Source organism: Homo sapiens, chromosome 20, assembly GCF_000001405.40.
Source record: "Homo sapiens chromosome 20, GRCh38.p14 Primary Assembly".
Classification (NCBI taxonomy): domain Eukaryota; kingdom Metazoa; phylum Chordata; class Mammalia; order Primates; family Hominidae; genus Homo; species Homo sapiens.
This window is the reverse complement of record NC_000020.11, coordinates 3,899,424-3,914,137: the sequence shown is the minus strand read 5'-3', so window position 1 is coordinate 3,914,137 and position 14,714 is coordinate 3,899,424. Positions and strand designations below refer to the sequence as shown.

At 43.1% G+C, this 14,714-nt stretch overlaps 1 protein-coding gene across 8 annotated transcripts in view, besides 2 other annotated features; it reads right to left on the bottom strand.

The window, feature by feature from the left end:
• Nucleotides 1-14,714, bottom strand: part of PANK2 (pantothenate kinase 2) — a 41,107-nt gene that overhangs the window by 15,750 nt on the left and 10,643 nt on the right. For 5 of the 8 annotated variants that reach the window (NM_024960.6, NM_153638.4, NM_001324191.2 and 2 more), the window contains 3 exons: nucleotides 5,860-6,212; nucleotides 3,308-3,561; nucleotides 1,504-1,680 (listed from right to left, as the gene is read on the bottom strand). In NM_024960.6, coding sequence (NP_079236.3) covers nucleotides 1,504-1,680; nucleotides 3,308-3,561; nucleotides 5,860-5,967 — 539 coding nt within the window. In that variant the 5' untranslated portion in view covers nucleotides 5,968-6,212. Of the gene's footprint in view, nucleotides 1-1,503; nucleotides 1,681-3,307; nucleotides 3,562-5,512; nucleotides 6,213-14,714 lie in introns of those variants that run through there. The other 3 variants (NR_136715.2, NM_001324193.2, NM_001324192.1) reach the window with 2 other exon arrangements.
• Nucleotides 7,321-7,400: an enhancer, noted in NCBI's record as "active region_17489". NCBI's record gives its function as "activates an Ori minimal core promoter by ATAC-STARR-seq in GM12878 lymphoblastoid cells {active_cell/tissue: GM12878}" and the evidence as "EXISTENCE:reporter gene assay evidence [ECO:0000049][PMID:35858748]".
• Nucleotides 8,122-8,622: an enhancer, noted in NCBI's record as "H3K4me1 hESC enhancer chr20:3886163-3886663 (GRCh37/hg19 assembly coordinates)". NCBI's record gives its function as "activates a minimal SCP1, AML or CMV promoter by ChIP-STARR-seq in primed H9 embryonic stem cells {active_cell/tissue: H9 hESC(primed)}" and the evidence as "EXISTENCE:reporter gene assay evidence [ECO:0000049][PMID:30033119]".

Here is a 14,714-nt window from a genome sequence, read left to right as displayed (position 1 = left end):
CAATTCTACTCTCAGGTATATACCCAATAGAATTAGAAATATATGTGCAGGCCAGGCGCAGTGGCTCACGCCTGTAATCCCAGCACTTTGGGAGGCCAAGGCGGGCGGATCATGAGGTCAGCAGATCGAGACCATCCTGGCCAACATAGTGAAACCCCATCTCTGCTAAAAATACAAAAAAAATAGCCGGGCGTGGTGGCAGGCACCTGTAGTCCCAGCTACTTGGAAGGCTGAAGCAGAAGAATGGCATGAACCCAGGAGCTAGAGCTTGCAGTGAGCCGAGATCACGCCACTGCACTCCAGCCTGGGCGACAGACCAAGACTCCGTCTCAAAAAAAAAAAAAAAATATATATATATATATGTGTGTGTGTGTGTGCATACATACAAAGACTTACATATAAATGTTCAACATTATAACCAAAAAATGGAAACAACCCAAATGTTCATCAACCAATAAATGGATAAAATGTAGTATTATCCACGTAATGAAATATTATGTGGCAGCCGGGCGCGGTGGCTCACACCTGTAATCCTAGCACTTTGGGAGGCTGAGGCGGCAGATCACCTGAGTTCGAGACCTGCCCGGCCAACATGGAGAAATCCTTTCCCTACTAAAAAATACAAAATTAGCCAGGCTTGGTGGCGCATGCCTGTAATCCCAGCTACTCAGGAGGCTGAGGCAGGAGAATTGCTTGAACCTGGGAGGTGGGGGTTGTGGTGAGCCGAGATCACGCCATTGCACTCCAGCCTGGGCAAAAAGAGTAAAACGCCGTCTCAGAAAAAAGAAATATTATTTGGCAATAAAAAGGAATAAAGTACTGATTCACACTGTAATGTGAATGTTTGAAAACATATGCTATATGAAGAAGTAATCACAAAAGATCATATACTGTATGATACCACTTATATGAAATGTTCAGAAGAGGCAAACCTACATTGAAAATAAATTACTGTTTGGCAGGGGCTGTGGGGGGAATGGAGAGTCGTAGCTAATGAACACAAGGTTTCTTTCTAGGATGATAAAAATGTCCTAAAATTGGGATTACAGTGATGGTTGCACAATCCTGTAAATATACTAGAAACCACTAAATTGTACGCTTCAAACAGCTGACTTTATAGTACGTAAATTATATCTCAATAGAGCTTTTTTAAAAAATATGCCCAATATTATTATTTTATGTCTTTTTTTTTTTTTTTTTTTTTTTTGAGACAGAGTCTCACTCCGTTACCTAGGCTGGAGCTCACCGCACCCTCCACCTCCAGGGTTCAAGTGATTCTCCTGCCTCAGCCTCCCAAGTACCTGGGTCTACAGGCGCGCACCACCATGCCTAGCTAATTTTTGTATTTTTAGTAGAGACAGGGTTACACTATGTTGGCCAGGCTGGTCTCAAACTCCTGACCTCATGATCTGCCCATCTCGGCCTCTCAAAGTTTTGGGATTAAAGGCATGAGCCACCGCGCCCGGCCCGCCTGTATTTCTTAGAACACACATGCCCCCTTACCTTGAAGCCACAGCCCAGCCTGGCAGTCCAAACCTCTCATAGTCCCCTCCATAAATATCTCGTACTAGTTTATCCACTTTGGTGCTATCTCCACGAGATGCCATTTCAAGAGCTTCTTCAAAAGTGGTACAGCCAGTAAGAAGACAGCAGAGACCAAAAAAAGTTCCTCCTCCAAGACTATGATTAAAAACAATTAACACAGTATTATAACATTTTTAAAAATAAGAACAAGAAGTTAACATTTATGAACCCCAAAACCATATTCACATATCCAACCCAATCATGCAAATGCCACTGGTAGGAAACAAGTCTGTGAAAAGATAAGGTGCCTGATATACACCTTTAAGGTACATATGCATGTGAGCCAACATGCAAAGTACAAAACACAGGGCCCATGTCCCCAGTGCAGTCTGGCTGTCTGCCAAGTATGAAGAGCCTCAGGTGCAAATTAGCCTGACACGCCTGGGGCCATGCTAACACCTCCTCCCTTTCCCTTCTCCAAGTACATTCCCTGAGTCATTCTCATCCAAGCACCTTGTCACCCTGGCTTATCAGTACACCCCCAAACATACTCCTCCTGCAACGTGTTTTGTCACAAAAAAATTACTCCTCTATTTAAATCACAACTGTTTTTTTAAAAAAATTGTTTATCCCAATCCCTAGATGCCTGTTTTTCCTGAAGTGACCTCTGACCCTTAAGCCGAAACATTCTCTTCTTCCATCTAATCCTCATTTTTTTTTTTTGAGATGGAGTTTAGCTCTTTTTGCCCAGGCTAGAGTACAATGGCACGATCTCGGCTCACCGCAACCTTTGCCTCCTGGTTCAAGTGATTTTTCTGCCTCAGCCTCCCAAGTATATGGGATTACAGGCATGTGCCACCACGCCCGGCTAATTTTGTATTTTTAGTAGAGATGGGGTTTCTCCATGTTGGCCAGGCTGGTCTCGAACTCCCGACCTCTGGTGATCCACCCGCCTCGGCCTCCCAAAGTGCTGGGATTACAGGCATAAGCTGCCGTGCCTGGCCCTAATACTCTCTTTTCTTTTTTTTTTGAGACGGAGTCTCACTCTGTCACCCAGGCTGGAGTGCAGTGGCATAATCTCGGCTTACTGCAACCTCCACCCTCTGAATTCAAGCAATTCTCCCACCTCAGCCTCCCGAGTAGCTGGGATTCACAGGCGCCTGCCACTGCGCCCGGCTAATTTTTGTATTTTTAGTAGAGATGGGGTTTCACCATGTTGGCCAGGCTGGTCTTGAACTCCTGACCTCATGATCCACCCGCCCCAGCCTCCCAAAGTGCTGGGATTACAGGCATGAGCCACCACGCCCGGCTAATCCTCTCTTTTCATACTACCTTCCCTCAATAATTTTTCTACTGATCAGTACATATCAACTTCTAAATCACATACATAGAATACATCATTATTCTACACACACATGTGTGTGGAAGCATGAAATTTACACAGGTTTCAGAGCTAGGTCCTTTCCCGTGCCTTCTCCTTACAGATGCTGCCTAATAACTTTAGCTACTTTGTGTATGCACACCATAAACTATCTGAGGGCAAAGGCTACAATGAGTCTGCTGATGTGATCTTTTAAGAAACACCTAGGATAATAAATCTTGAACAGTAGAGATTAAAGAAAACTAGGTCATAAAATCAGAATTTTCAAAGAGAAACATTTGTTTGCATAATCCAGAAACACTTTCACCTAACAGGTTCTTGAAGGTGTAGTTACATGTAATACCTGAAAACTCAGCCCGTTAGGATACTAAGAATAAACAGTGAGTTTTATATACAACTTACCTAGTACCTGTGACCCGTTTGTAATTATCTTTGGAATATACTGCTAAGATGCTAACCCCTGAGCCAATGTTCACCAGAAGCAGAGGATACGGATTTTTCAAATCAAATGGTAACTTCTGACACTTTTCAGAATCAGCAGGGTTTTCAAAGTAATAGCACTGTGACCGTCCATTGAATCCGACTGAGTCAATGTATAAAATTCCTTTGATCAAGCAATCTAGTTCATCCAGTTTGCAAAGCTGAAGATCACCTATCTGTAATGAAATAAGAATGTACTCAGACTTTTTAATAAGCCAACAGAAACAAAAATTCCATTCAATAAGGCATCCCCACTACGTGAAACAACCATGAAAGTGCACTCACAGATGTGTATTATTTGTGCATGCTTTACAGAACAGATTTAGGAGCAAACCTAGGGACACAGTGCTGAGACAGACTCCTGCTACTACAGACCCAAATACACTCTACATAGAAACTACTGCAGCAGCTGAATAAGTGTGACCAAAAAAAAAACAAAAAAAACAAAAAAAAAAAACCACAGCATTTATCAACCTTCAAACAGAAATTCAGATCTCTGCTTACAGGGACAATGGGGCTGATACCAAGCTCAGGCCACAGCACTATCAGAAACCACCTTGTGACACAGGGTGGGAGCCACAAGGACTGTGACAGAGGACCATCTCAAGGCTTTGGAGCAGTATCAAAAGAGGCCACACATTATTTAACAAACTGAAGCCAAAAGGCTGAAAGTATCCAGTTAGAAGGTAAGATTTTTTTCACTATCTAAACTAGCTACAGCCTCTTGGGAGGGAGGGGAATTTTAGCAGTCAAAATTTGAACTGTTTCATAATCAATTAATTCCATTTAAATAATAAAGGAATGACTAAATTATTATTCGTATTATGGAGCACTGTATAGCAACTAAAAATGAAGAGGATCGGCCGGGCACGGTGGCTCACGCCTATAATCCCAGCACTTTGGGAGGCTGAGACAGGTGGATCACAAGGTCAGGAGTTCAAGATCAGCCTGGCCAACATGGTGAAACCCAGTCTCTACTAAAGATAAAAAAAAAAATTAGCTGGGTATGGTGGTGCACGCCTGTAAACCCAGCTACTCGGGAGGCTGAGGCAGGAGAATCTCTTGAACCCAGGAGGCAGAGGTTGCAGTGAGCTGAGATGGCACCACTGCACTCCAACCTAGGTGACAGGGCGAGACTCCGTCTCAAAACAAAACAAAAATGAAGAGGATCTTTATGTTCTGAAGTGGGAAGAACTCCAAGGCATGTTAGTCAAAAAGTTGAGGCCAGGAACGGTGGCTCACACCTGTAATTCCAACACTTTGGGAGGCCGAGGCAGGCAGATCACTTGAGGTCAGGTGTTCCAGACCAGCCTGGACAACATGGTGAAACCCCATCTCTACTAAAAGACATGCAGAATAACAGGCAGAATCTGGGCCGGGCAAGGTGACTCACCCCTGTAATCCCAGCACTTTGGGAGGCTGAAGCAGGCAGATCACCTGAGATCAGGAGTTCGAGACCAGCCTGACCAACATGGAGAAACCCTGTCTCTACTAAAAATACAAAATTAGCCGGGCGTGGTGGCACATGCCTGTAATCCCAGCTACTTGGGAGGCTGAAGCAGGAGAATCGCTTGAACCCGAGAGGTGGAGGTTGTGTTGAGCCATTGCATTCCAGCCTGGGAACAAGAACAAAACTCCATCTCAAGAAAACAAAACAAAACAAAAAGGCAGAATCTCTTTCAGACTAATATTCTCTCATTTAGCAACAGAAAAACAGTCAGTCACTGAAGACATTTTCAATCTGTATTGCACCCTGACGGTCAGGATCTTGGCTTATTCATTTGTCAGTTCTCCGGCCTACCCCCACCATCCACCCTGAAAGGACCTAGCCTCAAGGTCTTGCTCACAATGTTCTCCAGTGTTCACTCAATGAAAGCAAGATAGAGCGCCTGGCAGCATTCCCCAGGGGCCAGACATGGTGGCGAGACTCCAGTTAAGTGTGCAGCACAGAACACATCAGAAAGCATTCTGGGAGAGGAGGGCTCTGCAGTCACCCATCTCAGACCAGCCCTGAGCCTGAAAACACCACTTTTGACCAGAGTTCCTTATTTTTTTCAGTTAGTGAACATGCCAGCAAACAACTGAGGGAGACAAGAGAAATTATGTGGTAGACAAGACTGAAAACAATTTTATGACATGAAATGATTTTAATTATATTTCAATCTCATTGTTCATGATCTAATGATGTTCCTTTTAGGTAGTTTCTTCCTCAACGTATAGCAGATGCCCTAATTTTTCATACTAAAGGAGCAATAAAATGCTACCCTTTTAGTGGTTCTGATTGTCGTCCATACATCTGAACTAGACAACCACCTCTAGATGGCCAACTCCTATCACTAGCGTACCTTTAATCTTCATTTGACTCAAGAAAATTCAAGTTCCATTAGAGATGGAAATTATTTCACCACTTGCTACTGGCATTATTTTTAACAATCAAATTACCATAAATTGTATATAAGCTAAAAAATGCATACTGTGAGAAAATCCTGCTCAAATTTGTACGCTCCACCTCCAGTGGCACAAAAGACAGTGTGGAGACTCGAGAAGTTTTTATCTCTGCCCATTTGAATAAAAGCAGGCATGTCATGAGTGGGAAAGCGTATAAAGTGCAGATTGCCTTTGCGTCCACACAGAGTCAGGTCCTTCAGCTCGAGGTGCACGTCCCGAATGCCTGTAGACCCATAAGCCACATTGGAGGTCAGGTACTTCCGAATGCTTTTAAGACTTTCCACTTCTTCCTCTTCTTCTTCAGCAGTGATGTCTTTGGGTTCAAAATATACCAGCTTGACCAGAGTTCCACCGATATCCAGTCCAAACCATGGAAAAACTAAATGGGGAAGAAAAATAAGTCAGAACAGCTTTTTTCTGAAAATTAAATTTACCCTTACCACAGTAGCAACTTATTTCAAACGCTAGGGTTTCCAAAGAACATAATTCTAGGCAAAAGGGTTTTGGGGCAAAGAAATGTGATTCTGTCTTGATTTAGATGCATAACTTAAAAAAAAAATACTACGGCAAAGACGAAAAAGAAAAATATCAAAGTATTGAGCCAACCCAACCATTCTGTCAGACAAGCGCAAACCGCACTATGAAGTGTTTTAAAAATAACAAGATGACTACTCGTAAGCCTCAACTGTGAAAAACAAAGATTCAGAATGAAAATCTCTCTTTCCTATCGGCTTAAAAAAAAACATTGAGACTTCAGAGTTCTGGTTTAGCAGCAAACTAGAAACAGGAAATTCCCAAACCTATGTAACATATAACCTCCAATGGTCAATTTATCTTTCAAAATCTGATATTCCAAAAATAAAAGGTTTCAATAGACATTAACACCGGTTCCCAAAATGTCCTTTAGGCCAAGCGCAGTGGCTCACACCTGTAATTTCAACACTTTGGGAGGCCAAGGTGGGTGGATCACCTGAGGTCAGAAGTTTGAGACCAGCCTGACCAATATGGTAAAACCCCATCTCTACTAAAACAAAAATTAGCCAGGCATGGTGACGTGCACCTGTAGTACCAGCTACTCAGGAAATCTAAACCAGAACTGCTTCAACCTGGGAGGTGGAGACTGCAGTGAGCTGAGATCACACCACTGCACTCCAGCCTGGGCGACAGAGTGAGGCTCTGTCTCAAAAAAAAAAAAAAAAAAAAAAGGCAGGGCTGGGCACGGTGGCTCACGCCTGTAATCCCAACACTTGGGGAGGCTAAGGCAGGTGAATCACAAGGTCAAGAGACCAAGATCATCCTGGCCAACATGGTGAAACTATCTCTACTAAAAATACAGAAATCAGCTGGCTGTGGTGGCGTGCGCTTGTAGTCCCAGCTACTCCGGAGGCTGAGGCAGGAGAATCGCTTGAACCCATGAGGCAGAAGCTGCAGTGAGCCAAGATCGCACCACTGCACTCTAGCCTGGCGACAGAGTGACACTCCGTCTCAAAGAAAAAAAAGGCCTGAAGAGATTGGATCAAAGTGGACTGCACAGACATATGGAAGGTCCCAATTTAATGAGGGCTCAAAGTAATGATTTTTCAAATTTACAATGGTGCAATAAGCATTCAGTAGAAACTCTACTTCAAGTATTTATTGTTTTTTTTATTTTTAGTACAGTATTCAATAAATTACAAGATATTCGACATTTTATTGTAAAATAATTATCTTTTATATTATTCATTATTAAATCATCTAGCTTTATGCTAGAAGATTTTGCCCAACTGTAGGCTAATATAAGGGTTCTAAGCACATTTAAGGTAGGTTTGGCTAAGCTATGATGTTCAATAGGCTGGGTATATTAAATGCATTTTGACTTACAGTATTTTCTTTTTCTCTTTTTTGAGGTAAGGTCTCACTGTCACCCAGGCTAGAATGCAACGCCACAATCTCAGCTCACTGCAACCTCTGCCTCCTGGGCTCAAGTAATCCTCCTATCTCAGCCTCCTGAGCAGCTGGGACTAAAGGTGCATGCCACCACACCCACCTAATTTTTGTATTTTTTGTAGAAACAGGGTTTCCCCATGTTGCCAGGCTGGTCTTGAACTCCTGGGCTCAAGCAGTCCACCCAGGTCAGCCTCCCAAAGTGCTGGGATTACAAGTGTGAACCACTGCGCCCAGCCTGATTTACAGTATTTTGAACTTCTGATGGGTTTATGGAATGTAGCATAAACATCGTAAGTCAAAAAGCATCTGTACATGCTTCCCCTCCCAATCTAAATCGTAGAAATTACTAAAGATGTGGGTTTAGGCCGGGCACGGTGGCTCACACCTGTAATCCCAGCACTTTGGGAGGATGAGGAGGGCAGATCACCTGAGGTCAGGAGTTCAAGACCAGCCTGGCCAACATGGTGAAACCCCCATCTCTACTAAAAATACAAAATTAGCCGGGCGTGGTGGCGGGCACCTGTAATCATAGCTACTCAGGAGGCTGAGGCAGGAGAATTGCTTGAACCCGGGAGGTGGAGGTTTCAGTGAGCCAAGACAGCACTACTGCACTACAGCCTGGGTGACAGAGCAAAACTCCACCTCAAAAAAAAAAAAAAAAGGGTGTGGGTTTATTGATATATTTGATATATTATTTTCTAAAATAATTCTGGGAAACAAGAAGAGATAGCAGGCCGGGTGTGGTGGCTCACGCCTGTAATCCCAGCACTTTGGGAGGCCGAGGCGGGAGGATCATGAGGTCAGGAGATCGAGACCATCCTGGCTAACAAGGTGAAACCCCATCTCTACTAAAAATACAAAAAAATTAGCCGGGCGTGGTGGCGGGCGCCTGTAGTCCCAGCTACTCAGCAGGCTGAGGCAGGAGAATGGCATGAACCCGGGAGGCGGAGCAGTGAGCGGAGATCATGCCACTGCACTCCAGCCTAGGTGACAGAGCGAGACTCCGTCTCAAAAAAAAAAAAAAAAAAGAGATAGCAGCAGCAGAACTAGGTTTACAGAGGCAATAACCATGCATAAGCCTCAAAAGAGGAATGCTATTAAAACTGGGATCAGCTATGAAGGTGAGAGAGAGAACGTAGGGGTATTCTATCCAAGCCGTAGGTTCAGGGCGGCTACCATGGGGAAACAAAAGCAGGTCTGGTGCAGTGGTGCAGTCACAAGCGATGGTGGGGAAATGTGTTTGGCACAAGTGGACAGGCCACTCCCTCTACCAATAACCATGTTCTATCCCCAACACTGACAGAAGCAAAGTCTTCACTGGAAACAGGCACTGGAGCCCCAGAATCAGGATGGCACTCAGGTGGCTGCTATTACCCAGAAGAAATAAGGAGACATTTTACCCCATATTTTGCCACGTATCTCATACCTCCCCTAAAATCAATCCTGACCAACTGGTAAACAGACACTGAATCCACTGGCAGAAGAACAGGAATTCTCAAACCAGAGATTATCACTTTTACAAACTAGAAAAACTACAAGGGAAATAAACACTACAAAAATGAGAAACTAAATATCTGAAGAAAGAGTTGCAGGAATAAACAGAATCAAAAATATTCTCAGAGGTAAAATCATAACTCATCCATAAAAAAAGCTACCATAGAGAAAAATCAAAAATTAAAAAACGATTGCCAGATGTGTGTGGCTGCAAAAATTAACACGATAAAATTATATACAACTAAATAAACAACGTACAAAAGAATCCATGCAAAACTGTTTCTATTTATTTTTCACCTTTTATTTTTATTTTTAGAGACAGCGTGTTGCTCTGTTTCCCAGGCTGGAGTGCAATCACAACTCAATCACAACTGACTGTAACCTTGAACTCCTGGGCTCAAGCAATCCTCCTGCCTCATCATCCCAAGTAACTACGACTACAGGAACACAACCATGCCAGCTATTTTGGAGAGACAAGGTCTCACTGTGTTGTCCAGGCTGGTCTCCAACTCCTGGCCTCCAGCAATCCTCCCACTTTGGCCTCCCAAAGTGCTGGGATTACAGGCCTGAGTCATCATGCCCAGCCAAAATTGGCAAAATTTAAATACAGTTTGTCCATGTTAATTTCCTAATTGTGGGAAAGAATGCTCTGAAAACCAAAAAAAAGGGACAAACTACTACATATTTAATATTCATGAATCTCAAAAATAGGGTGAGTAAAAGAAACCTTGCACAAAAGGCTACATACTATATTATTCCATTTATATGAAACTTTTGAAAATGCAAACTGGCCGGGCACAGTGGCTCAAGAATGTAATCCCAGCACTTTGGGAGGCCAAGGCAGGCAGATCACCTGAGGTCAGGAGTTCAAGAGCAGCCTGACCAATATGGTGAAATCATATTGTACTAAAGTATGTACGTATGTACTAAACATATGTACTAAAAATACAAAATATTAGGCTGGGCGCAGTGGCTCACGCCTGTAATCCCAACACTTTGGGAGGCTGAAGCGGCCGGATCACAAGGTCAGGAGTTCGAGATCAGCCTGACCAATATGGTGAAACCACGTCTCTACTAAAAATAAAAAAAATTAGCCGGGCGTGGTGGCACATGCCTCTAATCCCAGCTACTAAGAAAGCTGAGGCAGCAGAATCGCTTGATCCCAGGAGATGGAGGCTGCAGTGAGCCGAGATCACACCACTGCACTCCAGCCTGGGCAACGGAGTGAGACTCCATCTCAAAAAAAAAAAAAATTAGCTGGGCGTGGTGGAACGCGCTGAAATCCCAGCTACTTGGGAGGCTGAGGCAGGAGAATCACTTGAACCAGGAGGCAGAGGTTACAGTTAGCCGAGATCATGCCATTGCACTCCAGCCTGGGCAACAAGAGCAAAACTCAGTCTCAAAAAAAAAAAAAAAAAGGAAAAGAAGAAAAAAAAAAGCCGGGCGTCGTGGCTCATGCCTGTAATTCCAGCACTTTGGGAGGCTAAGGCGGGCGGATCACCTGAGGTCAGGAATTCAAGACCAGACTAGCCAACATGGCAAAACCTCGTTTCTACTAAAAATACAAAAATTAGCCCGGTGTGGCAGTGCATGCCTGTAATCCCAGCTACTCGGGAGGCTGAAGCAGGAGAATCACTTGAACCCAGGAGGAGGAGTAAATTTCAATGAGCCAAGATTGCACCACTGTACTCCAGCCTGGGCGACAGAGGGAGACTCCGTCTCAAAAAGGGGGAAAAAAAAAAAAAAGGCAAGCTAATCATTTTTACATCTGAAAGCAAGCAAATCATGGGCTTGAGAGCTGGGGTTGGACTGCACAGGAGGAGGGAAAAACTCTGGTAACCCAACTCTTGTTTGGGGGTAAAAGGGGTGTGTGTGTGTGTGTGTGTGTGTGTGTGTGTGTGTGTGTGTGTGTCTATACACATCTGTCGAAACTCATGGAACTGTATATTTTAAATGGATGCAGTTTATTGTATGTAAATTACAACATTAAAGACGCTGTTATAAAAGAGAAAAAACAATTGCTAAAATAAAACTTGACAGATATATTTAACAGCAAAATGGGCACAGAAAAAACAAATAGAAAACAAAATTAAAAGATTATCCCCAAATGCTTTTCAAGTATGAAAGAAAGGTCAATATAGTCAATATAGAGAAAATGGAACCTGGCTGGGTGCAGTGACTCACACCTGTAATCCTAGCATTTTGGGAGGCCGAGATGGGAGGATCACTTGAAGCCAGGAGTCCAAGATCAGCCAGGACAACACAGCCAGACCCCATCTCTACTTTAAAAGAAAAAAAAAAAACTAGGCCAGGTGCGGTGGCTCATGCTTGTAATCCTAGCACTTTAGGAGGCCGAGGTGGGTGGATCGCTTGAGGTCAGGAGTTCGAGACCAGCCAGGCCAACATGATGAAACCCCACCTCTACTAAAAATACAAAAATTGGCTGGAAATCGCTTGAACCTGGGAGGTGGAAGTCGCAGTGAGCCAAGATTGTCCCACTGTACTACAGTCTGGCCACAGAGTGAGATTCCGTCTCAAAAATAAAAAATAAATAAAAAATTAGCCAGGCGCACACCTGTAGTCACAGCTACTTGAGAGGCTGAAGTGAGAGGATAGCTTGAGCCCAGGAGGTCAAGGTCGTAGCAAGCTATGACCATGCCACCGCACTCCAGCCTGGGTAACAGACTGAGACTCTGTCTCTAACTAAAAAAAAAAAAAAAAGAGAGAGGGAGAGAATATAGAACCAGAAGGACCAACATCTTATGTTAGTTCCAGAAATTTCCTTGGGGAAAGGGAAGACACCAATCATCAGGTTACTCTAAGGGCTGAACAGTGTTTATCGGTCAGCAGAGAAGGGGAAGACAACTTAGACACATCCTATTGAAATTTCAAGATATCATAAGGAAAAAACTGAATTCCTATAAAGATACATAAATCACATAAAAGTCAGTATCAGACTTTTCATCAGCAGCACAGATGCCAGAAGACAACGGAGCACTGGCTTCAAAGTTATAAGGAAAATGATTTTGAAACTTATATCCAGCCAACCAAATAAGCTTTCAAGCGGGAGTGCAAAAACAATTTTCACATATGTAAGGGATCAACTTTACTTTTCAAAGACCTTCTCTAACATAATTGGTAGATGAATGCCATAATTTTAAAACATCCAAGAGCTTTAAGAAACTTTTTTTTAATCCAAGAGCTTTAAGAAATAAACAAAAGTACTGACTTTTACAAAAATAAGCAATCTGAAACTAAAATACTTACATGATTTCGACATAGGAAGTTGAAGAGGGAAGAGAAGGGAGAAGGAAATGAAAGCAAGCAGCAGTTCTGTCTTGTTGGAAAAGGGAAGAAAAGATAGATTCTGATTAATTCTACACAAGAATATAGAAGTGATAGTTTAAATGTGTCAAAATTTAGAGGTAACTCCAGAGGAGAAAAAAAAAATGACTTTCACATTAGAAAAAAAATAAAGCAATCAGTTCAAAAAAGCTGATTGACAAGAAATGGGGAAAAGTACAGTAAATACAAAACAGCCAGGTGTGGTGGCTCATGCCTGTAATTCCAACACTTTGAGAGGCCAAGGTGGGTGGATCACTTGAGGCCAGGAGTTGGGAGACCAGCCTGGACAACACAGCAAGACCACATCTCTAAAAAAAAATTTAGGTATGATCACGTGCACCTGTAGTCCCAGCTACTCCAGGGGCTGAGGCAGGAAGATCGCTTGAGCCCAAGAGTTTGAGGCTAGTGAGCTGTGATACAGCCACTGTACTCCAGCCTGGCAGCAGAGCAAGATCCTACCTCTTAAATAAATAAATAAATAAATAATAAAGCCTGTAATCCCAGCACTCTGGGAGGCCAAGGCAGGTGGATCACTTGAGGTCATGAGTTCGAGACCAGCCTGGCCAACATCGTGAAACCCCCATCTCTACTAAAAATAGAAAAATTAGCCAGGTGTGGTGGTGCACACCTGTAACCCCAGCTACTCGGTAGGCTGAGACAGGAGAATCGCTTGAACCCAGGAGGCAGAGGTTGCAGTGAGCCAAGATCGCACCACTGCATTCCAGCCTAGGCGACAGAGCAAGACTTCATCTCAAAAAAAACTTAAAAATAATTTAATAAATAAATAAATGATGGGAATGACTGCACTTATCAGTAATCACAAATAGGTCAAATTTCTCTTCTAGACTGAAGAGGAAATTCTGTGAGCTTAACCAGGAATTAGGAGAGAAAAGGAGAAATTCAAGTATATGTTGATGTAAAAAGATACCTCAAACAAGATTATACAAGTAAACTGAAGGAAAAATGGTAAATCACCCACAATGGAGTCACACCATGAGGAGGAGTTGAATGCTTTGAAAGATGAAAATGGCATTTAGTCAAAAGTATTACACATTATAAAAATGTTAAGCACTCTTAAGCACCTCACTAGAGATGAATACTAGATAGAGCAGCTGATTTACATTTAAGAGCCATAGTACAGTAAAGGTCATACCTTGTTTCAAGACCAGTGTTTCATTTGGCAAAGAGCTATGCTCACATTACAAGAGGTGCCCCTCCAGACAATCACGCCCCTTCCTTTCCCTACAGGGGAAAGGAGAGTCACCATTCTCATCCCTATACTCACTCATAATCATATAGTTACTGACGGAAACACTGGGTAGAATCGCTGGCACCATTCACTTAACTCACTTGCTGAATTTATACACTTGAATTTAAATGACTAAAATAAATGCCTGGAGAATGCTACTCCACTGTATCAAGCAAATGTTAACAGCAAGCAGATACAATACTAGCAGACCAAACAACACAAACAAAAAAGCATTAAGAAGGGACAAAAAAAAAACTCTCTCATGTGCATAAAAAGTACAACTGATGGGCCAGGCACAGTGGCTCACGCCTGTAATCCCAGCACATTGGGAGGCCGAGGCAGGCGGATCACGAGGTCAGGAGATCGAGACCATCCTGTGAATGGTGAAACCCCGTCTCTACTAAAAATACAAAACATTAGCCGGGCATGGTGGCAGGTGCCTGTGGTCCCAGCTACTTGGGAGGCTGAGGCAGGAGAATGGTGTGAAGCCGGGAGGCGGAGCTTGCAGTGAGCCAAGATCGCAGCACTGCATTCCAGCCTGGGCAACAGAGCGAGACTCCATCTCAAAAAAAAAAAAAAAAAAAAAAGTACAACTGATGAATGTAATAGCCATGTTCCTTATGCACATAACACATACTTCGAAAACACTAACAGAGAAACTGACACATCTACAAGTCAGTATGAGAATGACACAGACCTCAGGAATTTGTAGATTGCACACACACCTACAAAATTATGGTAGAAAGAGAATTTTAATATCATGGCTAATAAGGTGGATCTAGTAAACACAAATAGAACTCTGGGGAAAAAAAAAAAAAACAGCCGGATGTAATGGCTCACATCTGTAATCCCAGCACTCTGGGAGGC